At 41.6% G+C, this 27,266-nt stretch overlaps 1 protein-coding gene across 1 annotated transcript in view, besides 3 other annotated features; it reads left to right on the top strand.

Moving 5' to 3' along the window:
- The window catches only part of B4GALT5 (beta-1,4-galactosyltransferase 5), an 80,934-nt gene that overhangs the window by 28,867 nt on the left and 24,801 nt on the right, over nucleotides 1-27,266 (top strand). The gene's annotated exons all lie outside the window — the stretch shown is intronic.
- Nucleotides 1,026-1,731: an enhancer, noted in NCBI's record as "H3K4me1 hESC enhancer chr20:48299818-48300523 (GRCh37/hg19 assembly coordinates)". NCBI's record gives its function as "activates a minimal SCP1, AML or CMV promoter by ChIP-STARR-seq in naive H9 embryonic stem cells {active_cell/tissue: H9 hESC(naive)}" and the evidence as "EXISTENCE:reporter gene assay evidence [ECO:0000049][PMID:30033119]".
- Nucleotides 8,335-8,414: an enhancer, noted in NCBI's record as "active region_18067". NCBI's record gives its function as "activates an Ori minimal core promoter by ATAC-STARR-seq in GM12878 lymphoblastoid cells {active_cell/tissue: GM12878}" and the evidence as "EXISTENCE:reporter gene assay evidence [ECO:0000049][PMID:35858748]".
- Nucleotides 22,786-23,080: an enhancer, noted in NCBI's record as "tiled region #2374; HepG2 Activating DNase matched - State 5:Enh". NCBI's record gives its function as "activates a minimal TATA promoter and a strong SV40 promoter by Sharpr-MPRA in HepG2 cells {active_cell/tissue: HepG2}" and the evidence as "EXISTENCE:reporter gene assay evidence [ECO:0000049][PMID:27701403]".

The raw sequence follows: 27,266 nt of genomic DNA, 5'->3' as shown, positions 1-27,266 counted from the left end.
AAACTCTGTGTACTATATTCACAACTTTTCTATAATTCTAAAATTACTCTAAACTGAAAGGCTTATACAAATAATAACTGTGACTTCCTGAAGGCCTACTCTGTTTCAATCACTCTGGAATCTACATTTGTTATTTCTAACTCTCCTAAGACTGTAAGAAGTTTGGTCACGAGCTCAAGATCACACAGCTAAGCCGAGCAGGGACTCAAACCTCTGTCTTAGCTGAGTGAAACTCTAATCCTACCGCATGCCACCTCTGTTCTCTGGGGAATTGGAATGGAATTATTTGAACAAGGACGTGGCTCTTCAGTATGTCGTTTAAGTCTGCAGGTATGCCTTGATTTCTTTCTGTTGTAGATCAGTACTTACTGTATGGCACTTGCTGATTTTGCGTGCTTATGTCCTTGATATGTGGCCTCTTTCAGTTCAGGGACCAACTTTTTTTTCTTCTTGAGGAGTCTTGCTCTATCGCCCAGGCTGGAGTGCAGTGGCGCAACCTTGGCTCACTGCAAGCTCTGCCTCCTGGGTTCACACCATTCTGCTGTCTCAGCCTCCCCAGCAGCTGGGACTACAGGCGCACACTGCCACGCTCAGCTAATTTTTTTGTGTCTTTAGTAGAGACCGGGTTTCACTGTGTTAGCCAGGATGGTCTCGATCTCCTGACCTTGTGATCCGCCTGCCTCAGCCTCCCAAAGTGCTGGGATTAGAGGCATGAGCCACCGCGCCCAGCCAACTTTTTTTTTAAATTAAAGTAAATTCTGAATGAACACATTAGCGCTCACCATATACAAGACTCCCTTAGAGCTCTGCATGTGTTGCTTCTCTTCCTGACCCAGTGAGGTAGGTACTATTACTTTGCTCTTTTTTTTTTGAGATGGAATCTTGCTCTGTTGCCCAGGCTGGAAAGCAGCGGTGTGATCTCAGCTCACTGCAGCCTCCACCTCCTGGGTTCAAGCGATCCTCCCTCCTCAGCCTTCCAAGTAGCTGAGATTACAAGCATGTGCCACCACACCTGGCTAATTTTTGTATTTTTAGTAGAGACAGGGTTTTACTATGTTGGCCAGGCTGGTCTCAAACTTCTGACCTCAAGTGATCCACCCACCTCGGCCTCCCAAAGTGCTGGGATTACAGGCGTGAGCCACCGTGCCTGGCTGCAGTCTTTATTCTTAAATGTTTTACCAATATTAACTCATTCAATACAAATGAGATAGGGATATTATTATCCCCGTTTTATGGATGAGGAAACACAGAATGAATAATTTGCCAAAGGTCATTCAGCTGACTAGAATTTAAACCTGTCTAGGCCGGGCGCAGTGGCTCATGCCTGTAATCCCAGCATTCGGGAGGCCGAGGTGGGCAAATCATCTGAGGTTGGCAGATCATCTGAGGTCAGGAGTTCAAGACCACGCTGGCCAACATGGTGAACCGACATCTCTACAAAAATACAAAAATTAGCCGGGCATGATGGTGGGTGCCTGTAATCTCAGCTACTCAGGAGGCTGAGACATGAGAATCGCTTGAACCCAGGAGGCGGAGGTTGTAGTGAGCCGAGATTGCACCATTGCACTCCAGCCTGGGCAACAGAGTGAGACTCCATCTCCAAAAAAAAAAAAAAAAAAAAAAAAATTTAAACCTGTCTAGCCCTCCTCCAGAGTTAATACTTTCAACCATTAAACCATTTACCTGACAATTTATTCAGCTTAAAGATAAAAGGAAAACCAGAAAATACCTGTTAGACTAAACAGAGCACATTTATGTGCAGATAGTTTGCAACTTCTAAGGAGAACATTATTTGTGAAATCAAAACAGTTTATTTCTAGGATAACTTTTATTATTTAACTTTTAGTTGAGAATTTGTATTTGTTGTATATAAGCATATGTCGTCCTTCTATGTCACTTTTTTTTTTTCCTCCCCAGAAACAGGGTCTCCCACTCTGTTAACCAGGCTGGAGTGCAGTGGTGCAATCACAGTTCACTGCAGCCTTGAACTCCTGGGCTCAAGCAGACTTCCCACCTCAGCCTCCCAACTGGCTGGGACTACAGGTGCACACCACCATGCCGGGCTAATATTTTTTTATGTCAGTAGAGAAGGGGCCTTCCTATGTTGCCCAGGCTGATCTTAAACTCCTGGGCTCAAGTGATCCTCCTGCCTTAACCTCCTGAAGTGTTAGGATTGCAGATGTGAGCCACTGCGCCGGCCTAGAATTGGAATCTTGAATTTTTGCCTTAGGCTCACTAATAATACTCTTAACTACATTTAACAAATATTTATTGGGCTGCTGCTATGTGGTAGGCAAACTTGTGTGTCCTTTTAGGTAATTAGTGCTTTGGAGAAGCAGAGGAAAGTGGATGCTTTGCAGGGAGTAGAGAGAGGAAATTTTGCAATTTTAAATATATTGTGATGAGGGAAGGTCTCACTGAAGTGAGGTATTCAGGAGGTGTGCGAGCAAGCCATGTGGTTGTCTGGGCAGCGCTGCCAAGACAGTGGTTGGGTCAGTGGCCTGTGGTGAGAGCTTGCATGGGTATCTTCAGGACAGGACAGCGAGAAGGCCCGTGTGGCTGGAACAGAGTGAGTGAGGTGCAGAACTAGAGAGATGAGGTCAGAGGGATAAGGGAAATCATTTAAGAGCTGGTGTAGACAGACTTGCTCTGCGAAGGGCCAGATGTAAACGTTTTCGACTCTGCAGTCCATAGCAACAACTCAACTCTGCCTGCAATGCCGAAGCAGTAGTAGGCAGTGCACAGAGGGGCACAGGGTGTCCAGCAGTGCTTTATTCACACTGGCAGGCACTGGGCAGGATTCACCCACCACAGCTTCTGACTCCTGGTTTAGTGTAAGCCATTGTCCAGAGTTTGATGTGTACTCTGAATGAGATGAGAATTCATTGGAGGGTTTTTATTTATTTATTTATTTTTGAGACAGGGTCTGGCTCCTTTGTCCAGGCTGGAGTGCAGTGATGCAATGGAAGCTCACTACAACCTCAACCTCAAAGGCTCAAATGCTCCTCCCACTTTAGCCTCCCAAGGACCTGGGACTACAGGCGCAAGCCACCATGCCGGACTAATTTTTGTATTTTTTGTAGAGACGGGGTCTTGCCAGGTTGCCCAAACTGGTCTTAAACTCTTGAGCTCAAGCCCTTCACCCACCTCAGCCTTCCAAAGTGCTGGGATTACAGGCGTGAGCCACCACGCCCAGCCTTTCTTGGAGGTTTTCAAATAGAGGAATTAGAAAATTTGACTGCTGTTGTAAGGAATGCCACTGGTTGCCTAATTGAGAATGAACTGACAAGGAATGAGGGTAAAAGGGTAGAGTTACCATTAACCAGGATGGGAAGACTGCGGTAGAACAGGTTTGTGGACGGGAAGGACAGTGATCTGGTTTTGGACAAATTTGAGGTAACTGTTAGGCTTCTGAGTGGAGATGGCAGGGAGGCTGTTGGTCTACAATCCTGGTGCTCAGTGCAGAAGTCAGGGCTCAATATAAGGATTTGGGAGTGTCCAGCAAACAGGTGGTATTTGAAATCATGAGACTGGATGAGATCACCAAGGGAGTGAGTGTAGATCGAGAAGTCCAGGGTCTGGGCCTTGGGGATCTGCAGCATTAAAATGAGAGAAATTAGTTTGGGGCTGTTTTGTCACTTTGGGAGTGTGGATTCTTTGATTCTGATTACGGATGCATGTAGCGCTCTGACTCTTAACGTGAATTTTAAATACAGAACCTCAGTGTCCTTCCGGCTAAGTTTATTATTTACCACCTATGTTCTTCTTACTATTTTTTTTTTTTTTTTTTTTTTTAGAGATGGGGTCTTGCTCTGTTGCGCAGGCTGGAGTCCAGTGGTGTGATCATAGCTCACTATAACCTAAAACACATGGGCTCAAACAAACCTCCAGCCTCAGCCTCCTGAGTAGCTGGGACAACAGATGCATGCCACCACGCCTGGCTAATTGTTTTTGGTAGAAATAAGGTTTAACTCTGTTTCCCAGGCTGGTCTCAAACTCCTGGCCTCAGGTAGTTCTCCCACGTCAGCCTCCCCAAAGTGCTGGAACTTATTAAATTATAATTCTAGTTTTTATGTACAGTTTTTTTAAATTGTGGTAAAATATATGGTAAAATATACATAACATAAAATAGGCCATTTTAGGTTGTCCTGCCTATGGAGTAGCCATTCTTTTATTTCTTTACTTTCTTAATAAACTTGCTTTCACTTTACGGAAAAAAAAAAGTACCATTTAAATCATTTGAAGTATACAATTTAGTGGCGTTAAGTACATTCTCAATATTACGCAACCATTACTACTATTCGTTTCCAGAACTTGATTTCTTCATTCCAAACAGAAACTCTGCACCTATTAAAAATTAGTCCCCTTCTCAACCTCTATTATTAGTCCACCTATTATTAGTCCCCTTCTCCGCAACTTCTAATAATCACCATTCTACTTTCCGTGTCTGTGAATTTACCTATTCTGGGTACCTCAGATAAATGGAATCATATAATATTTGTACTTTTGTGTTCTGGCATAGTTCACTTAGCATGTTTTCAAGGTTCATCTATGTTACAGCATGTTTCACTGCTTTTTAAGTTTAAATTTTTTAAGTTTTAATTTTGCTAAACATCCTAGGATGCACATCAGTGCTTTTATTATTATTATTTTTTAAAACAACCTCTAATATCGAGTCTTATTTCTGACAGGAATTCTTTGCTGCAGAAGGGTCTCCATAGCTCAGCCTTATGTTCCAAAACACTCATGGTCTCTGTGTCCAGAACACTCCAAGAGCTTGTTGAAATGGCTCTTCAGCCCATGCAGCCCTCTTATTTGTGCTACTAGTAAAATAATGATAATGCTATTGAATAGCTGGATTGTTGACCCTCTGGCTAATATGATTTGATGGATTTTATTATATGGCATTTTAATCAAAGGATAAGCTTGTCTCATTTGAAATAGATAGAAAACCTGAAAAAGGGACAGTTTAAAGGTAGCAATCAAGTCAAAATAGTTTTCTTCTTCTGGAATGTGATAAATGTATTTAGTGAGAGGTATCTTGGAGAGCGTGATTTTACCACTTACTCATTTGACAAATTGCTGAGCTTAGGGGCCAAGTCCTGTAATATTTCCCTGTTGCTTCAAGGCAGGTATACTGAAAAAAATCAGTTATTAAATATTTGCCATATTTCCTAAATAACCTATTCATTCTTTGCCTGATAACAGCAGTTTTTATGGCAGCAATATGTGTTAAAGGAAAACCTGGCTGTCCTTTGGGGTTCAGTAGTCAGGTCCACTGAAAGTTCAGCTGATGTGTGAAACAAGGTTTTTGTTTTTTGTTTTTGTTTTTTTTGAAGATGTAGTCTCACTTTGTTGCCCAGGTTGGAGTGCAGTGGTGGGATCTCGGCTCACTGCAACCTCCGCCTCCTGGGTTCAAGTGATTCTCCTGCCTCAGCCTCCTGAGTAGCTGGGACTACAGGTGCATGCCACCACGCCTGGCTAATTTTTTGTATTTTTTTTTTTTTAGTAGAGACGGGGTTTCACCCTGTTAGCCAGGCTGGTCTCGAACTTCTGACCTCATGATCCGCCTGTCTCGGCCTCCCAAAGTGCTGGGAAACAAGGTATTTGTTTAACTAACTTTCGGTATTGTAGGAAAGACTCATTAATGTTCTTGATTGTGGTGCTAGAGAATGACCAAGGATAAAATGAAAATAAATTTTTAGCTTCATTTTAGGACTGGTGATTGCGAAACAACAACAACGAAACAGCAAAAAACCCTTTTTAGTCAAAAAAATTGGGGGAGAAGAAAATTAGAGGCAAGAGGTTATTTTTAAGATGTGGCCACAGTTCAGTCTGGTTTCCAGTAGACTTTTAGGCCATTTCCCATAATCTATTGAGTCATCCCAGCAGTTCTGCAGTCAGCTATAATGAAAGTTTAAAAGGAAGATCATAGTATCCATTCTTCTCTCCTTTTGTATTGTGGTTAACTTTGGGTCTTGGCTTTATGTTACCCTCCCCACCCCCAGCCCCTTTTAATGTAATCATGTAGTGGGCAAGGGATTAAATTAATGTAATTAGGAGAATGGAGGGAACTTTGCTTTGTGCTCCAGGAACCCTGGGGATTCCCCCCAGCCCCCATTACCAGTAACAGCACTAACAATGTTTATATTGAAGTGGATATGGAAGCCAAGGATCTTCAAGGTCTTAGTAGCAAGCCTAGTAGTGAGCTGTTAAGCCAAATGAAAGCAGTGATTGAGTCTCAGCTTGTTTTTCTATGAGAGTACTAATACCTACTTTATCGAAGTTAAATGAAACCTTTTAACCCTTAATATTGATTAAGGCTTGTGTTAGGAGGAAGTTTGAGAGAATGTGTCCTTGCTACATGTCTGTCCAACTCCCAAAGGCCCGAGGGTACCTGGATGGCTTCCAGGGCTCAGTGATTATGTATTTTATGCATTAGTAGGCTTCTTTCAAGATATCTTGGCCAGATAATTATGAGGCTTGTCCTTCAGAGGCAGCATGCACACCACCACGTAGGGACTCATGGCTGGTGCCTGTCTTGCAGCTAGAATAGCAAGACATCTTCATTCTTGGAACAGTGAGAGTGAACTCAGAAAAGGGCCTGCATTCTTGTCCAGCCAAATTATTGTTCACCTGTCCTAGACTATAAATAATTCCATGACATGTGTCCAGTCCTTTGTGAGTTCCAGGGTTGGTTTTGCTTTTCTATTTTGATTGCCTTGGACTTGCTCTGCGAAATTAGTAACCAAGTTGACCTTCATCTTTTAGTTTAGCCCAGGACTCTAGGCCCTGTGTGCTTGCCATATCAGGAGGGGTGAGATCAAGGCCCCACTTCCAGTGTCATTTGATTCTCTACCCTGCCATTTGCTGTGTTCTGAAGAAATAAAGTTTGTTTGCTGTTTGTCCTAAGGTGGAACATATCTTTCAGAGCACATGCTAACAAGATTTAAAAGATATTTCAGGCTGGGCGTGATGACTCACGCCTATAATTCCAGCACTTGGGGAGGCTGAGGCGGGCAGATCACCTGAGGTCAGGGGTTCGAGACCAGCCTGACCAACATGGTGAAACTCCTGTCTCTACTAAAAAATACAAAAATTAGCTGGGCATGGTGGCACATGCCTGTAATCCCAGCTACTCAGGAGGCTGAGGCAGGAGAATTGCTTCAACTTGGGAGGCGGAGATGGCAGTGAGCCGAGATTGCACCATTGCACTCCAGCCAGGGCGTTAGAGTGAGACTCCATCCCAAAAATCAATCAATCAATCAATCAATCAAAGATATTTCACCTCTCACAGCCAAATACAGATGTAATTTTGGGGGAGTACGATCCTTATTTTATATTGTGTTCTGATTATATGTAATTTTTGTTTTATCCTTTCAGCTGCGTAAGAAAAACTCAATTTCCACTCTTTTTGCAGACAATTCTTCAAAAATAGATTGCAAAGTTTTCATGTATTCATTTTACCATTTGTTCTTAAGAAGACTTACTTTAACATAATTACCAACAAATGTTTGCACCTAGCATTTCTGCTCAGAGAATGGTGTGAAAGGGGATAAAAATAGTAAGCCTTAGCCAGTGCCAAAGTTGTCAGTGGATTAAAGAATAGTGCTATCCTGGAAATGCTGCTTTAGGGGAGTTGGAGGCAGGGGGTCTTGCTGGGGATGGTGTGCAGAGGGTGGTTGGTGCAGGTAGGAAGAGGTTCCAAGCACCTTGTTAGGCTTAGTTTCTGTGCTATTATCTTAGGGCTAGACTTTTGGGAGGGGTTGTACTTGTACTTCAGTTTGTATGTGGGTCATGTTTGCACCATAGCGGGTGTGGTTATTGACAACTGTGTTTCCCGGTGGTTCCCCTTCCAGCCCATGCTCACCAGATGCCATTAGCAAGTTGTACCTTCTCTAATACCCTGAGGTTTTTCTGAGAAGGCTGCAGAAATACCCCCTAGAACAAAGAAGTCAGCAAAAACAAAACAAAACAAAAAACACCACTTAAGGGTAAGCACACAAACACATACAAATATAAGGACATACATCATAGGTATTGTAATGTTCCAATCCCATAATTTTGGAATGATTACATAGGTGGAATACAGAAGTATCCCTGCTTTTCAGCATGACTGCCCTTGATGACTCATCAAAAAACAGCAGTGCTAGTCATCTTAGACACAGAGGATGTGTGCCATTTAGACTTGTTCTTTTAAATAGTGAAAATTATTGCTTTATGGTTTTATTCTGTGCCCCCCGCCCTCATGCCCCTATGGGCCAGAGAGGCAGTTCACCAACTTCTCTCCAGTTGTGCCTCCCCTTCCTTCCTGTGACTTTAGGGAGTTTGTACGCATCTGCTCTAGTCCTAGAACCATGGGGCCTTCATAGCCCCTGCGCAGTAGCCAAGAGCAATGGGCCTTCTTACGGAAGGAAGAGCTCAGTTGGCAAGTATATCCTGAGCTGAGTTGTGAAGGCACACATTCATACCTCTCTTTATTTTTAATGGGGTTAGCACAGTCTTCAATCAATAGCTTAACTTCATCTCTGCTTTTATTTCTGCTCCTAGCATAAATTATTTAGCACAAATGCAGACATAATCTCAGAAATTACTTAGTATTAGTGTCCTGCTGTGAGCATCATTTTCTTGAGTGTGTTGTGTTCTAACCGCAAATTAGCAAAAGACCCTTCAAGAAAGTCTTTCTGTGGATTCATTTAGGGGGAATTTAGAAGGTTGTAGTCAGTGCTACCTGATCACTTTTATTTTCAGTGAAATTTTGTTTTATTCATAGTATAGTTAATAGCTTTCCTGTAACACACACACACACACTCTCTCTCTCTACATATATATGTATTATGTACATTTTTAAAAGTCACTTTTTACCTGGTAATATCTTAATCCCTTAAGGATTTGTCAGTTGGCCCATCGGTGGACTGAGTCACTTTATGAGTAGGGATTCCGAAAATGCCAAGCTTTGTCTGGGGGGGTTGGGTTGGGGGAGGATGCAATAATAAAAACTCTAACCTTGAAGATGCGGGGAGGGCCTACAGACATGTTGGAATTCAACAATTAGGTATATTTTAGTGTAGCCTCATAGTGCAGCGACCCAGCTGTAAAGATGAAGTCACTCATTCCTGTAATGATTTGCTAGCTTGTTGAACTAAAGTCTAGAGTTGAAAATTCTGCTCCTTTTGAACAGTGATCTAATTGTGAAACGGACAGTTGGCTACTGACAGTTTTCAAATATTAGCCAGTTGCTGATTTTAAAAATAACTGTGAGAAAGGAAGACCAAGGTGAGAAGAGACTAAAAATCAAACAGTCACATGAGGTTTTGTATCTTCAGACAGCTGAAGAAACCCGACAACCTACAAAGATATGATATTTGCTTGGGTAGTTGTAGTTCAGGTGTTTCCTTGTGCACCGAGCCCCTAGTGCATTGCTCATAATAGGTTCTGGGGCAGAGGTACCTGCTGATAGCTCCACAGGGTCATAAGCAACTTTGAACACCCCCAGGAGCCTTGTTGTTGGGCGTGGTGGGAAATGTTAATTGGCCTCTGAGTGAACTAGGAGGTACTGTTAGGATTCTTATCCCTTGATAAACTTACTCCCTGTGGCCGTCTTGTTAATATTTAAAAGTAAAGTGTAAATCCATTACAGGACACCATAATTTAATATTTGTTGCATTTCTGAGCTATGTGGTTGCCAGCATAGGGTCAGTATCCTAAGGCCTTTGAGTTTTCTGAGTTTTAACTCTCAGCTTGACTGTGGGGTGTGTGGGCTTGGGAATTGACTTTTGTTTGAGAGTAACAGCAATCTTAGGAATTAGTGATTTTTTTGGTCCTTGCAAATGTTACTGAACACACGGAACAAGCCAGCCACCAGGCTGCTCGTGGAAGGGGAAGGGAGGCAAAGTTGGGTTTGGTCCCCCTCCCCTGCTCTTATCCCCTCCACTCCCTTTTCTTCCTGAGCTCATGCTTTTGTTGTGATAGATTATTTTTCCCGGGATTTTTTGCTTTTGAAATCTTAGTTTTTGTGTCTTTGCACCTAGCCAGTAGGAGCAGCATTGTCTGAGATCTTAGCAGGTTCCAGAGAACTGTCCATTGTGGGTAGAGTTGGGAGTGGCAAGAACTGAAATTCCAGAGGCAGGAGCCAGGTTTTATGGACTTTTCTGAGTCATACTAAGCATGAGGAATTTGGACCTTGAAAGTGGTGGAAAGCCATTGAGAGACAACAGGAGGATATATTTATCATTTCTTTTAGTTCACCTATGACATTATAGGACGTTATAGGTAAAGACTAAATGCAATTCTTTTTCTTCTTCTTCTTCTTTTTTTTTTTTAATAGGGATGGGGTCTCGCTATGTTTCCCAGGCTGGTCTGGTCTCTGTAACTACTGGGCTCAAGTGATCCTCCCACCTCGGTCTCCTGTGCCTCCCTTCCCCTTCCATGAGCAGTCCTGCGGCTGGCTTATTCAGTAACATTTGCAGACTCACTAAAAAAAGTTACTAATTCCTGGGATTTTGTAATTCCAAAGTGTTGGGATTACAGGCATGAGCCACCACACCCGACCCTAAATGCAGTTCTTGATTCCAAAGACTAAAGAATACTTTACGGGCATAGAAAAACCCCGCAGTGCTTTAACTTCTTATGTGAACATTGCTAGGGTCTTTATTCCCTCTGTAACAATTCCTGGCCCATTTACAGGATTTTTAATATTAGTATACTTTGATTTAGGTTTAGTTGGCAATCTAGATACATCCCAAACCAAACTTTTCCCACATCTTTTTTTTTTTTTTTTTTGAGATGGAGTCTTGCTCTGTCGCCCAGGCTGGAGTGCAGTGACACAGTCTCGGCTCACTGCAAGCTCTGCCTCAGCCTCCCGAGTAGCTGGGACTACAGGCACCTGCCACCACACCTGGCTAATTTTTTTTTTTTTTTTTTTTTTTTTGTATTTTTAATAGAGATGGGATTTCACTGTGTTAGCCAGGATGGTCTAAATCTCCTGACCTCGTGATCCGCCCACCTCGGCCTCCCAAAGTGGTGGGATTACAGGCGTGAACCACCATGCCTGGCCCCCAGAACTTTTTATTATGAAAAAATTCAAACTTACAGAAAAGTTGCAAGAATAACACAATAAAAGCATTATCTTCCATCTGGAGTCAACAGTTACCACTATTTTGCTTTTTTTGTTTGAACTGTGGCTCTGCTTTCTCCACTGAGCCACGTTAAATTGTTGATAATTATCCAGGCAGTTAACCTTTAAATACTTCAGCACACATCTCTTTAAAAAATGACATTCTCCTGTTTAATCAAAGTACTATTATTGCATCTAAGAAAATTAACAGTACTTTCATAATCTTTTCAATACTTGATCTTAGCCAGAAGGCCGAGAAGTGATCATAATACTTTCTAATATCCAGTCCTCATCCAGTGGTGCTCAGAATGTTATTTGTAGCTGCCCCCATCCCCAAAATAACATATTACATTTGGTTATGTCTGTTAGTCTTTAGTAGCTTTCTCACCCCATCCACTGCTCATTGTAGTAACTCTTTGAGAAAGAGTTCAGGCCAGTATTATTGCATGTCCTACATTCTGGAATTGCCTAGTGTCACTTTGATGTGTTCCCTAGTTTTCTGGTTGTTTTTTTTTTGAGTTGGAGTCTCTCTTTGTCACCCAGGCTGGGGTGCAGTGGCACGATCTCGGCTTGCTGCAATCTCTGCCTCCTGGGTTCAAGCGATTCTCCTGTCTCAGCCTCCTGAGTAGCTGGGATTACAGGCATCCACCACCACGCCCAGCTAATTTTTGTATTTTTAGTAGAGATGGGGTTTCACCATGTTGGCCAGGCTGGTCTCGAACTCCTGACCTTGTGATCCGCCTGCCTCGGCTTCCCAAAGTGCTGGGATTACAGGTGTGAGCCACTGCGCCTGGCCAATCCACTGTATTTTTGTAAACCAGAAGATAAGTCTAAGAGCTTGATTCGATTTAAATTAAAAGTTTTTGGCAAGAATACTCAGAAGGTAATCTTAGTTTGTTCTAGTTGGTGATAACCCAGTTTGGGCACTTGGTTAAGTGGTACCTATCTGATCTCTCCATTGTAAATGCACGTTTCCCCCTTTGCAGTTATGTGATCTGTGGGAAGAATTTGTTTTTGATTTTCTTTCCAAAGTGTAGCCTTACAAGATTTGTTTTTTGTTTGTTTTTTTTCTGGTTTGTTTTCTTTTTTAAATCCAAGCCTTTGCGGAGGTCGAGGCCAAGCCACCCACCTTGGCTTCTCAAAGGGCTTGGATTATAGGTGTGAGCCACCTTGCCTGACTCCTTACAAGTTTCCATCAATCATGCTCTTCCAACGTGCCTTTGTAGAGTAGGTTGGCCCTTCTGTTTCTGTGGACTTGGGTCTTGAATTGCTTTAAAATGTGAACATTACTTAGCTAAAGAAAGAAAAGTTTATGTCTGATCAAGTGACAGAGTCTGTCTGTCATAATAGATGACAGAAAAATAATCCAGCATTCTGCATGGCCCAGAGAACCCGTTTCTAGGACTACAAGTTGATATATGCAAAAGACAAGCCATCTGGAGGAGAGGAAGGGTTTCATTACCCACAAGGTGTTAAGGAAAGACTTTGTTTTGCTAAGTGTGTGTGCCTTAGAAGCTAGAAATTTTCAAGTGCTTTCTCTGGCATCTTTTGCCTTTTTATGGAAAGCATGGCTCTGATTTCCTATGTTTGACAGTTTGGGTGTTAATACCAGTTGGAATGCTGCCTTCTTGGAAGCACTTAAATTCCCAACGAGTAGATAACCCATTAGTCTGTTACAAGCTTCCAGGCTAACAATAATGTGATTAAAATATATTATCCCCATAGGACATGAAGAATAATCTTTCCAAAAGAGAATCAGGAGGGAGACCAAAGAACAGTATGTGGAAGAATATGTTTGGATGGTAGGCTAGATAGAGGAAACTTGCTTGATGAAGTTAAAGCTAGAAGCACCAAGAGCTTTAGGATCATTATGAATCATTTGGGGTAGGATAATTTGGGGGTAGAATAACAGTTTGAGATTAGGGGAATTATTAGGGTCTGGAGCAATGAAGAGGGGAGGAATCTCTTACTAAGGCAGAAGGTTGTGTTTTTGTGCTTCCCCCGACCCCATACAAAAATTTATTGATTATTGTTTTAAAAAAAAATGAAAAGAAAAAGACCCTGCCCAAAGGCAGCATTCCTAAAGGGTGCTCATAAAGTAGATGCTGTGTGAAAAGGGGTTCTCAGTAACTTTGGAAACTTTGAAATTTTGGGTCAGTTGATTTAAACAGATTTGGTTACTGCAGTTTTTCACTAGTGGAACAGAGAACCTCCTTATCTTACAGGGTTCTGATGTTCATGGAAATGTTGCATTGTAACAAAGAAAAGACAACCCAGATGACCTGTAATTCTGCCACACAGAGATAAAAAACACTGAACATCTTGATAAGTGATTTCTAAAACTGTTCTAGGCTTATATTTTCCTTTGTGTCTTTAACACAAATGTGATATACTGTATGTAGTATATATACAATGTATATACCGTCTTGAATCAATAGCTTCATCTCTGCTTTTATTACTGCTCCTAGCGTAAATTATTTAGCACAAATGCAGACATAATCTCAGAAAATTATTATTTTTTGAGACAGAGTCTCACTCTGTCACTCAGGCTGGAGTGTAGTGGCATGATTTCAACTCACCACAACCTCTGCTTCCCAAGTTCAAGTGATCCACCTCAGCCTCCTGAGTAGCTGGGGTTACAGGCATGCACCACCACACCCGGTTAATTTTTGTATTTTTTGTAGAGATGGGGTTTCGCCATGTTGACCAGGCTGATCTTGAACTCCTGACCTCAGGTGATCCGCCCACCTTGGCCTCCCAAAGTGCTGGGATTATAGGCATGAGCCACCGTGCCTGGCCTGCACGGTATGATTTTTAAATAGTGAGTACTTCTAAAACAATAATCATTATTTCAGTGATAGCTGAGTTAGTCATGGTCTGATTTTGCCATAATTTTTTTTCCAGACCCTTTTGGTGCATAGATAGGTTGGAGTTTTGCTTTTATAAGTAGCACTGAGATAAACAGTATTGAACACATTTGTTATTTATCCAATTATTTCTTTAGGATGAATACCTGAAAGTAGGAACTACTGGGTTAGAGTATGAACATTTCACTTTGATCTGTATTGCCAACCTCTCTAGAGGTTATATCAATTTGTTTCCATCAACAAGGTGTGGGATACCTGTTCCACCAAAGCCTCTGAATGTTGGTGAGGCTTTGGTAGAACAGGTATCAGTCTTTTGACTCATTTAGACAAGCAGTTTGTAGTGTCAACTTAAAATTTTACGTTACATGTTTGCAAAGGGTTAGAAGAAACTTAGTTGTAGGCAGATAGCAGTTCAGTGTTGAAGAAATTCAACTTTTTGCTATAGAATTGCATTCTTTTAAACCCTCACTCAGTCAGACACCATGATGCATGCCTGTAGTCCCAGCTGCTTGGGAGCTAAGGCATGAAGATCTCTTGAGCTCAGGAATTTGAGACCAGCCTGGGCAACATAGTAAGACCCTGTCTCAAAAAAATAAATCATTACTGTTGTAAAGAACATTGGTAAAACAGAAGGAAAAAAGGTCATCTCACATCACTGTTACTCCCTAACAGCAAAGCAGGTTGGTAAATTTGCCTCAAGTCTGTTTTAGCCTGATACATGTTCTTATTCCTTAGCAATAGTTGTCAAGATATAGCAGAACTTTTTTCATGTTGTTAAAAATGTGATAGTCTATGCTAAATATTATACATAAGGTGTATGGTGATAAGGTTGCATAGTTTTCACTTTTAAAGATGTGTAAGATTCCGTCAAGTTTTGTGTCACAGTTTATGTGCTGTTGTTTTAGTAAGTGAAAGCAAGTTTATTAGAGAAGAAAAGAAACTGGCTACTCCACAGGCAGAGCAGCACTGAGAGCTGCTGGTTGTTGATTTTGAGTTGTTTCCCAAGATTTTGCTTTTAGAAATAATGTAAGTAAAAACTTTGTGCATAGAATAGCCTCATATTTAGGATACTTTGCTAGCTCAGAAGGTATGAGCATTTTTATGGCTATTGTTGAATTTGCAAATAGTTTTCCCAAAGGGTTTATACCAGTCTGCACGAACACCAGCACAGTTGGTGAAGTATCAGTTTCACTATGACCTTTTCTGGCTTATAGCCTTTTTTTTTGTGGTTGCAGAAAAACCAGTATACTTCTACCTTAAAAAAGCAAGGCAACTCCTCCGGCTATCACAGCATCTGTGTGCCAAGCTATAATTCTTTTTTTTTTTTTTTTTGAGGTGGAGTTTCGCTCTTGTTGCCCAGGCTGGAGTGCAATGGCGCGATCTTAGCTCACTGCAACATCCGCCTCCCAGGTTCAAGTGATTCTCCTTTCTCAGCCTCCCGAGTAACTGGGATTACAGGCATGCACCACCATGCTCGGCTGATTTTGTATTTTTAGTAGAGACGGTGTTTCTCCATGTTGGTCAGGTTGGTTGCGAACTCCTGACCTCAGGTGATCCACCTGCCTCAGCCTCCCAAAGTGCTGGGATTACAGGTGTGAGCAACCACGCCCAGCCTATGTAATTCTTTAATAAATAGCTAAATGCCTACTATTTATCAGAAGTTGATGAAGAAAAGAATAAGACTGTCTGTACTCTTAAGGAGCTTACAGTCTATTGGAAGAGAGAGACATGCTCAAATTTGTAGAGGTCATGGATAGAAGTTGGTGTATCAGTTGAGAAAGAGCCCAAAGATAGGTGTAGGCAGTTCTAATCTTGGGGGTGGGATGATACCAGGAAAAGCTAGGAAAGGGACATTAAAGCTTAGTATTGGCTGGGCATGATGGCTCTCACATGTAATCCCAGCAGTTTGGGAGGCTGAGGCAGGAGGATTGCTTGAGCCCAGGAGTTTGAGACCAGCCTGGGCAACAAAGTGAGATTCTACCTCTACAAAAATAAAAAAATTCACCAGATGTGGTGGTGTACGCCTGTGGTCCCAGCTACACAGGAGGCTGAGGCAGGAGGATTGCTTGAGCCAAGGAAGTTGAGGTTGCAGTGAGCTGTGTTTGTGCCACTGCAATCCAGCCTGGGTGACAGGACGAGACACTGTCTAAAAAAAAAGCTTAGTATGAGCGGGTGTCACAAAAGCACGTTCATACAGAGGAGGTGTCAGTGGGGGTGGGAGGCTGGAACCACAAGGCAATTCAGGGACAGGGATTGGTCGGTGGAGTGGGGGCGGTGACGGACAGAGATTAGGACGAGGGGGTGCGGAGGTGAGGGGAGCAGAGCCTTTGTTCTGGTTTCAGTTCCACAGAGGAGTGTGGCAGTGCTGGTCTTGTGCCTCTAGCACATTCCCATCAGCAACATCCGTCATACCCTGACGCCCCCCCCACCCCCACCCATTCTCCGCAGGGTTGTTTTGATAAGTGTACGTGTTCAGTTTCAATGGAACCAGCAAGGTAATTTACAGTTTTCTCCCACCCAAGCTTATACTGAGGTTATGTGGCTGTGCATGTGGATATTGGTACTTCTGAGGGTTGATAACTGGTCATGCTATTAAGAATTTTGGGGGAAGCAAAGCTGAAGCTTAGATCAGTAAAGTACTTACCATAGGCTACCCAGCCATCTAGTATCTGTTTAGACAGCATTTTCATGTCTAATCTTATGTACAGTTTAATAATTTAACAGATGGTAGACTAATAGGTCAGTGGAAATGTTTATAGGGTACTTCATAGCTGTTAATTTTTACCACTTGGATTTTTTTAATAGCTAGGAATAGTAATTAGGGTGAAAAATGAAACCTACGAATGACTTTGTGATTTTTCTGCCTCAAATGAGAAGGATTAGGAAAGCAAAAGTTTCCTCAAATCAATTTTTCCCCCAAAATATTTTTTTGTATTATTTACTTTGTTAATGTGTGTATGTGTCCCCCCTCCTCCCAGTTCTCTTTAAACACTTTTTGTATGAAAATTGTCACACGGTTGCTCCAAAATATTTAAATAGATAAGACAATGGGTGTAAATTTTGCTGCCAAAAATTCCTTGTATCTTAAAAAAGCTGTATTTTCTCTCTTAAATGTATGTTAATGTATGTAATGCATAGTATGAGTATCCAGCATTTTAAGCAGATTTAAAATGGAAAAATTCATGATTCACATTAGAGCTTCAAACTTATAAAATTTGGGGGATGCATTATAGCGTGAGTATTGGCACCCACTCCTGAAGTGGAATATTGGAAGCCTGAAATATATGACATGTTGACAGTAAAGATCCAGGTAATATTGGCCATGCGGGGTGGCTCACACCTATAATCCCAGCACTTTGGGAGGCCAAAGTGTGAGGACTGCTTGAGCCAGGGAGGTTAAGACTGCAGTGAGCCATGATCGTGCCACTGCACTCCAGCCTGAGTGACAGAGCAAGATCCTGTCAAAAACAACAACAGGCCGGGCGCGGTGGCTCACACCTGTAATCCCAGCACTTTGGGAGGCCAAGGCGGGTGGATCACAAGGTCAGGAGATCGAGACCATCCTGGCTGACACAGTGAAACCCCGTCTCTACTAAAAATACAAAAAAAATTAGCCGGGCGAGGTGGCAGGCACCTGTAGTCCCAGCTACTCGGGAGGCTGAGGCAGGAGAATGGCGTGAACCCCTGGGGGGCGCAGCCTGCAGTGAGCTGAGATCGCGCCACTGCACTCCAGCCTGGGTGACAGCGAGAGTCCGTCTCAAAAAAAACAACAACAACACAAGCCAAAAAAAAAAAAACACTTCAAAAAGATCCAAGTAAAAGGAATCAAACAAAGTGTGGGCAGCATAGTAGCTGTGGATTCAGGGGATTGAGCATCTGAGAGGCAGTAGAGCATGTTTGTTAAAAATCTGGACTCTGGAGACAAAGCCTGCTGTGAAATCTTGGCTCCACATGGTCAGATTGCGTATTCAGACCTGAGTTTTTTTCATCTCTAAATTGATGGTAACAACCTGCCTCTCAGTTATTGTGAGGATGAAATGAGATAAAACACAGGCATTTGGAAAGGTGCTGGCACATAAGGACTCAATAAATGCATTATTAGTTGTATAGGAATCCATCTCTTTATAAGCAGAATAAGCAGATTCTTTCTTTACCTGTTGTGCAGAGCAGTGAACACTGATCATCTGCTTGTTTGGGGGTAAGGTTGAATTATTTTTCAGGTTGTGCTTTTTCCACAAAATATTGGTCTAAAAAGATAATGCAGGTTTTGCAGATACTCTAGCATGGCAGAAATCAAACTTCAACATTCCTTTGGCACATTTTGTTTTTCCTTAATTTTTATTGTGTCTTATCTGTGTATTTTGTATATGGGGGAAGGAGAGAGCACTAGCAAGCATGAGCGTGAGAGGGAGCCTCCTGTTCTATTTATTCATTTTCTGCTTCTCTTCTCTTTAGATTCTCTTCCCTTTTCCCTGTTCTTTATGCCAAAAGCATGGACATGCTAAAGAGGTAGAACCTGTGATCCATAGATTGGCTCCAGTGTTTTTCTGGAATTTATTTGACTCTGTTATAAATCCCACATTTTATAGTGGGATGATGATGTGAGTAAATTCAGAGAAAGAAAACCCAGTCTAACAGACCCCCCTGAGCACCAAGCAGCACCTTTGCTGAGTGTCATTCTTTCTGGCTCTGGTCAGTTGTGTCTAGCTTTATATCTTGACATTTTCCCTCCACTCTACATGCCATGGAGATGTGGTGTTCCTCTGCATTGCTCCATGTAGAAAGTACAGTCTTTGCTAAGATTCAGGCTCCCAACTTTTATTAATCACCTGGGGGATTCTACACACAGAATCTTATTTAGTTCATCTAAGAATTTAGATGTGGATACTAAAAAGTTCAGTCCTTAATCTGGAGCCAGGAATTTTGAGTAGGGTAAATTTACTTGTTCCGATTGATACCTACTCATTGGCCCACTGGAAATCCAATCCTGGACCGTTTCTGCAATGTCGTGGCTTTCAGAATCAAGTTCAGACCCCAAGTATAGTGCGTGAAGCCCTTTCGCTCTTGCTCCCCCCATTTTTCTAGCCTCCCGTCTCATGTTCTTGCCATATGCAACCTTCGCTCCAGCCATATGAAACTTCTTTGATTCCTCAGATGTATTTCCCCCTGGATGGCTCTTTGTTTTCATTTATGCTGCTCCCTCTCCTGCTTCAGTGCTCTTCTTTCAGGACCATACTCTAGAATTACCTCTTCTGAGAGTATTTTCCTGGCCCCTGCTCCCAATATGATCTAGTAGCCACTCTCCTGTACCCCTGAACAAACGTGACTATTCTTCCATTGCAAGGTGATGGCAGGGACTGTGTCTTACTTGTATCTCTTTATCTTTAGAGTATAGGGCAGTCCTGGAACATCTTATGTATATAATGAGTGTTGAATGAATGTATGTCTGAATTACAGTTTGTAACATTTATAAAAGAATTCATCATCTCTTTGTAGCTGGTGTTTTATAGAAGTGTAAAAAGTCCTTAGGACTTGATGTTTCTTCATTATTATTATTATTATTATTATTATTATTATTATTATTATTACTACTACCCCCCCACCCCCCCTTTTTGAGAGACAGGGTCTTGCTGTGTTACCCAGGCTGGAGTGCAGTGACATGATCATAACTCACTGCAGCTCAAACTCCTGAGCTCGAAGGATTCTTCTACCTTGGCCTCCCAAGTAGCTTGGGAGTACGCCATCATGCCCAGCTGATTTTTAAATTTTTTTGTAGAGACAGAGCCTCACTAGGAACAGCCCAGGCTGTTCTCAAACTCCTAGCCTCAAGTGATCCTCCTGCTTAGGCCTCCCAAACTGCTGGGATTACAGGCATGAGCCACTGTGCCCAGCTCTGTTTCTTCATTAAATAAAGTTGGGAACTTGGCCACTCCTGGAGAGTAAGTGGCCACTTTACTTTTCCCCTTTTGGAGAAAGCTTGAAGTCCAGCAGAACAGTAAGCCACTTAACCTGGCAGTTGCAACACATTAATTAACAACCTTTTATTTTTCTTTTGGAAAAAAATTGCAAATCTGTAGAGACATTGAGAAAATAGTACAATAAATATATGCTCTACACCTGAGTTCACCAGTTGGTAGCATTTTGTCACATTTGCTTTAACTTTTTATATGCATACATAAGCTCATACATGCATATGTGCATATGCACACATTTTTTTCAGAAGCATTTGAAAGTAAAGTTGTAGACATCATGATGCGAAACCTCTAAATACTTCAATATACATCTCCTGAGAATAAGCGCATTATGCATAATCACAGCACTATGATTACACTTAAGCTTAACATTTAGTAATATCTGATATACATTCCATGTTTAATTTTTCTCACTTGTCTCAAAAATATCTATTTTAGCACTCTGATTTTTCTATTCAGAATTTAGTCAAAGTTCATGTATTGCGTTTAGTTATGTCTCTAATCTAGAATAGCCCCTGCTTTTTTTTGGTCCAGATCAGTTATTTTGTAGAATATCCTATGTTCTTTCAGCCTGAAGAATCTAAAGTGTGTGTGTGTGTGTGTGTGTGTGTGTGTGTGTGTGTGTGTGTGTGTGTATTTGGAGACCTCATCTCTAAAAAAATATAAATGTTAGCTCTGTGTGTGGGGGCATTCCGCTGTGGTCCCAGCTCCTCCTGAGGCTGAGTTGGGAGGATCACTTGAGCCCAGGAGTTGGAGGCTTCAGTGAGCCATGTTCATGCCACTGCACTCCAACCTGGGTGACAGAGTGAGATCCCAACTCTTAAGGGATATTCTAGATTTATCTTCTTGTTTTCTCTTCAGTAGATTAGCAAGAATATTATATAGGAAGTAAATATCTTACATTGCATTAGGAGCCTGGAACTGTAGGTTGTTCTAATATTGGGGTTGCTGAGTTGAGACATTTGGTAAAGGGATGACCTGCTAGATCTTCCTCTTATGCAGCAAAATTACAAATGTCAGTTGTGATCAACATGTAATTTGTGGGGTGGTGCATTGAATATGTGTTTTGACTATCCTCTTCAACAACCCTTTCACCTGAGGGTTTTAGCATCCATTGATTTCCATGTCATGATTATGACCCAAATATGACTGTAATCAACAGACCTGCTAAACAGAGTTCCAGATTCTTTACGGTTCTTTTTGTCCTTACAGTATATCTCTCAAAGAATGTATCGGAGTACTTTTCCGTTGGTTGTGTTTTCAGTACAATGTATTATTAGAATTATTTGTTTGTGTTTGTATTTAGTTTTAGGGTTTGCCCATTTTTCATATATATATATATATATATATATATATATGTATATATTTTTTTTTTTTTTTTCTTGAGATGAATTCTCACTATGTTGCTCTGGCTGGACTTAAACTCCTGGGCTCAAGCCAGCCTCCTACTTCAGCCTCCCAAGCAGCTGGGACCATAGGTGTGTGCCACCATGCCCAGCTAGATAATTTTTTTAATACGTAAATGTCCAAAATATAAAAGGTGTACTCAGGCCTCAGTCCTACCCCTTCATTTTTATTAGTTTCTGGTTTACTCTTCCTATGTTTTTTTTTTTGTAAAAATATGTGAGTGCATATCAATTTCCCTTTATTAAGTAGCATAATATGTCTTGGAAGTCAATTCATGGGTTTTGCTCACCTTATTTTTGGGGAAGGTAAATTTTGTTGACATATAACATTAAAATGTGTACATGTAAGCAAAAAGCTTGGTGAATGTTTAGAAAATGAATATATCTGAATAACCAGCATCCAGGTTAAGAAATAAGATGACCAGAAGCCACCTTCAACTCTCCTGCACTCCAGGGTAGCCATTCTCCTGACTTTTATGTTGTAGATTAGCTGTGCCTGTTTTTGTATTTTATCTACATGGAATCATACCACATGTGTTCTTTTGTGTCTGGCTTCTTTGTGTCACATAAAGTGTGAGAGATTCATTCACGTGGGTGCATGCAGTTCTAGTTTATTTATTCCTGTTGCTGTATAGTATTCCAAAATCGGAATAGGCTACAAATATTTAATCTCTTCTGAGTTCTTTCTAGTTTTGGACTATAACAAATGTTTTCTCATTCTTTTTTATGGTCTCATGGTACTCATCCATGGGAGTGAGTATAAAAATGTATTCAACCAGTCTCCTTTGGATGGTCATTTAGGCTTTTTTCCCTAGTGTTTTTCTACTACAAATATTATTGCACAAGATTTTGAATAAACTTGTGCATTATAGTATGGAACATGTTTTTAAAAGCTTTATGAGGAATGAGAGTAACAGAACATTTTGGGGGGAAAGCTAATCTTTTTGGCAGTGCTGCTCAATTGGTGGAAAGGAATGACTGAGCTTTTCTTAGGAACAGGTTAGTGCAGTGAAACTGGTTAACTTACAGTATTTTGGGTTCCTCTCAGAAAGGAGGAGGGGGCTAATGCAAAATAAAGAGAAGGGCTTGAAATCCATCTCCATGCCTCCTGGAGCACAGCCAAGTTCAGAAAACTCTATATTGTCTCAACTTATTATTATTATTTTTTAAATTCAGATATTTATTATGCATCCTCTGTGTTCCCAACACACCATTCTAGCCACTGGGGGTACAGCATTAAAGGAAGTAGGCAACAGCCTTGCCCTAATGGAGCTCACATTCTTATGGGGGACAAGATAAATTTTAAAATATGTTGTATGTTAAGTAGAAAACCAAAGCAGAGGAGGGTGATTGGTGTTTGGGTGTGAGTGTGTGTGTGTTGTATGTTTGCATATGTTGGGGGTGAGATACAGATTGTAAAAAGTGGTCAGGAAGGGAATGGTTTCTTTTCTGGTTCTGAACCCTCTTTTAGCTTACCAAGCCAACCACAGCAAACATTAAGGATACACATTAAGGTTCAGTGAGAAAGGAGGAGGTTTTCCTGTTAGAATCAGAAGCAGAGAGGAAGAAAGGCACCATTGTGTGGCCAAGAGGTGGCTGAAGGGCAGGAAACCCAGTCCTTCGCCCCCGGAAGCTGTCCAGTTAAGCCATGGCCCAAGGCTGCTAACACTGGCATCTGAATGGAAATTTCTAATTGTGTAGACCTGAATGGGGCTTATTTTTCTCAACTGAATTATGGTTATATATAAGAGATCCCTCCTCCTAGATATGAGGCTGGATAATAATTACATTGTCTCATGAAAGTGTAAAACAAATTATTAGTAAGTGTGAATTTGTGTTAAATGTTGTCGCATTTACCACACTGCATTGTAATTTGTTGAATTTTGTCTATACATTACTCATCTATTCAGCGTTGCCTTATGCATACTTGGCCTCCAGTGCCCTCGTACGGTGCCTGAAAAGCACACAGTGAAGGAGGTGCTCAGTAGAGACTCGTTGAAACTGGAGGATTTAACCACTGCACACCAACTTAAAATTGTTTTTTTTAACTGTGATTCAGCCACTGTTGCGCAGGACCATATTATTAGAAAGTACTGCTTTCAGAATTTTCAAAGTTAGCTGGGTGCGGTGGCTCACGTCTGTAATCCCAACACTTTGGGAGGCCAAGGCAGGCAGATCACCTGAGGTCAGGAGTTCAAGACCAGTCTGGCCAACATGGTGAAACCCCATCTCTACCAAAATACAAAAAATTAGCTGGGCATGATGGCAGGTGCCTGTAATCCCGGCTACTCAGGAGGCTGAGGCAGAAGAATCGCTTGAACCTGGGAAATGGAGGTTGCAGTGAGCCGAGACGCGCCACTACACTCCAGCTTGGGCGACAGAGGGAGACTCTATCTCCAAAAAACAAAAAGAAAAAAACAAAGTAAAGCTCATCAAAATATATGCAGCAACTCAGTTCACCTCTCTGGTTTTGATTTCTCTAACCATATGACCTTGGGCAAATTACCCCCTGGAGGACTTGACTTCCTAATCTAAAATAAACACTCAAGATGATATCTACTTCACAGAGATGTGAATTTTGAATGAGATAATTTAGATTGAAAGCAACATGTGTATGCATATGTACTTCCTACTTTAGGCCAGAGCCATGGCCTAAGTTTATTAACAAGACTGCTTTTTTTGTTGTTGTTAACCAAACAGCATCTCACTGTTGCCCAGGCTGGAGTGCAGTGGCACGATCATGGTTCACTGCAGCCTTGATCTGAGTGAGTGGCTGGGACTACAGGCGCACACTACCACACTCGGCTAGTATTTTTAAAATCTATTTTTGTAGAGACGGGATTTTGCTGTATTGCCCAGCTGGTCTTGAACTCCTGGCCTCAAGTGATCCTCTTGCCTCCGACTCCCAAAGTGCTGGGATTACAGATGTGAGCCACTGCGCCCAACCGGTAACAAGACTTTTAATAGAGACACCTGAAAGGTCCTACAGTTTGATTTGTATAACCAACTACATGAGCATTGCACAGGAGAAGGGCAATTTAGCATCTCTAAAAAGATTAAGGGGATTTTGCTTCTAGCAAGCTTGATATGAATTAGTAATAGGATGTGACTGCTGTTTACCAACAACATTCAGCAAAGATTGATTGATTGATTACCTAACCATGTAATGGACGTTTAAAAAGTCTATTCATAGAAATATCCAAAACTGAATTTCCCAAAGTAAGTTCTGCAGAGACTCACTTGATGTTCTGGTTTGGGAAATGGCAGGCTAAATAACTAAACATCTCTCTTCTGGGAATTTCTGGGCCTTGAGTTATTGTGCATTGTGAATCTCCAAAAAGGGGCTTGCTTTTACAGATCTTTGGTAACAGGTGGAACAGGGCTGCTGGTGGTTTGTGTGTTTCTAGGCTCATCCTATTGCATCTGGACAACTCCGTTAGTGTGGTCACAACTCTTTGTCAAGTGTAGACAACTGGGCCAGTATGCAGAGAGCGCAGCCTGGATGGGGAGTGAGGTTGTGATGATGAAGTTGTGATGATGAAGATGTGAAGTTGTGTGAAGTTGTGATATGGGAGGGGCACACATAGAAGGGGCCTGAGTGGGAGAGGGTGTCTGGGGAAGGTTGAGAGAGAACCAGTGGGCAAAAGTGACTGGGCCAGCCTGGCCAACATGCTGAAACCCCGTCTCTATGAAAAATACAAAAATTAGCCAGGCATGGTGGCATGCACCTGTAGTAGTCCCAGCTACTTGGGAGGCTGAGGTATGAGAATCACTTGAACCCGGGAGGTGGAGGTGCAGTGAGCCAAGACTGAGACTCTGTCTCAAAAAAAAAAAAGAAAAAAAGAAAAAACAAGTGACTGGGAAACATTTTGTACCCAACCAAAGTAGGTTTTCTTTGCTGATGGCCATATTTTCCCTGTTGACTCTGTGTTCTTGGAGGTCATAGTTCCCCAGTAGTGGGAAGCATTCGATGATATTGGTGAGTGTTCCTTAAAATGCCATCCAATCCCAAGTTGTGGATTTGTGATTATTTCCTTTTGTTTGGCAATCTTTACTCCCTCAGTTTTTATTTTTTTAGCATTGTGCTAGTTCCTTTCGATAATTAGAAAAAAAAATACTATGTGGTTTACGTTAATTTATTAGTTGAATGACGAGACTAACACGAGACAGTTGTTAGTGAATTAAGTCAACATGGAAACAAATCCAAGTTTTGATAGTCTGTAATAGACCATCACAGAAACTGGAGAAGGGGGGAGACTGACACGGTACTGAAAGCTTCCTCAAGAGGTCTGTGAACTGGGGTTTGAAGGATTAATGGGATTTGCACGGCAGAAAGAATAGACTCCTTGCTGTAGCAGCAGCTCAGGGATAAAGGCAAGAGACGTAAAAGACTTTTGAGCAGTAACAGTGTGGATAAATCTGTAATTAAGAAAGGTCAAGAAAGATCCATCTGGCAGCTTTGTGCAGGAGATGAAGATGTGAGAGCTATCTCCTTAAGAGTAAGCATTTAAGCCATGTGGGTGCTTGAAATCTTTCAGAGAGAGGTTGTGGCTAGAACATGGATGAGTGAGGTATAAAAGCTTAGTGGTTAAGAGCACAGACACACCTGGTTCAAATTCTAGTGCTCTCAGTTGACCTTTGTGAAGATACTTGGAGAAACTGAAGCCTAGAAGTTGTTTGTAAATTGGATAGTATTACTTGCCTCTTAGGATAATTATGAGGATTAAATGCAGTAAGGAATTATGTAATTAAGTACTCAATAAATGTTGCTTATATTTATTATGTGGCCAGAGTTCCCTAGAGCAGTGGTTATAGAAGTGTGGTCCTTAGTCCAGCACCATTTATCACCTGCGAGCTTGTTACAAGTGCACATTCATGGGCCCCACTCAGACCAGATGCATCAGTCTGGGTAGTGGGACCTAGGAAACAGGCTTCTTAAAAGCACTCTGGGGGATGGGTGGGAAACATTAGAGAATGACTGCCCTAGAGGAATCCTCCAGTTGGGATGCAAAGCTAAGAAAGGGAGAGTGTTTAAAGGAGGGGCTAAGCAACTGTGTCCTTTGCAGTGCAGAGGAAAGGAGGTAGTGAGTTCTTGGCGGCACCTTACTATAAGCTTTACACAAGATTTTCAATAAATACAATAAAAGCTTTACACAAAATTTTCAATAAGACAACTGGTTTAGTAATATGTTGGGATGAAAGGAAGATTTCAGGGCAGTGGGAACATACTGCACAGCCCAAATGATTAAAAACAACAACAACAACACAGGACTGAATTAGAAATGTGATATTAGATGAAGTTTAAGTCTTAGGTTTAACAAGTATTTGTGGACTGCCCCCCTACTGTGACTGGCAGTGTCCTATCTGCTGGAAATAGAGAATGAGGTGTTACTCCTGCTTTCAGAGACTTCACACAGTTATACTTTTTTTTAATAATTGGAAGCTGTCTTTTTTCCTTAAAATCTTTCCTAGCTACTAGAGAATAAACACAATATCTGATCTATTCTCCGACGGTGCCAGAAGTTAAGCATAGGGCTGTCTCCCAATCAATGCAAGGCCGCATTTGAAACTGCTCCCTCATTTCGGAAAGCATTCTGAACACTGGTCCTTTTTGCTTATTATTTTATGGCTTGGGATATACCTTAAGAGATGATTTGAAATCTTTCGAAAGATTTCAATGTCCCTGTTTAATGTTGGCCACGTGGGGTTTTTGACATTATGCTAACCCACCCCACCTCTGTCATTCCCAGTATAAAGCACCAAAAGCACTAGCTTGAAATACAGTGACTTCTAAGCTTCGTCCATTATTCCATTCAGTCATTGTTTGCTGCGCATTATGTACAGGATACTGCTTTAATAGTGATGAAACCTAATGTCAGCCAAGTGTTTTGTCAAAGAGCCGGAA

Source organism: Homo sapiens, chromosome 20 (assembly GCF_000001405.40).
Source record: "Homo sapiens chromosome 20, GRCh38.p14 Primary Assembly".
NCBI lineage: Eukaryota > Metazoa > Chordata > Mammalia > Primates > Hominidae > Homo > Homo sapiens.
Note: the sequence above shows the minus strand (reverse complement) of the source record. Positions and strands in the feature narration are given on the sequence as shown.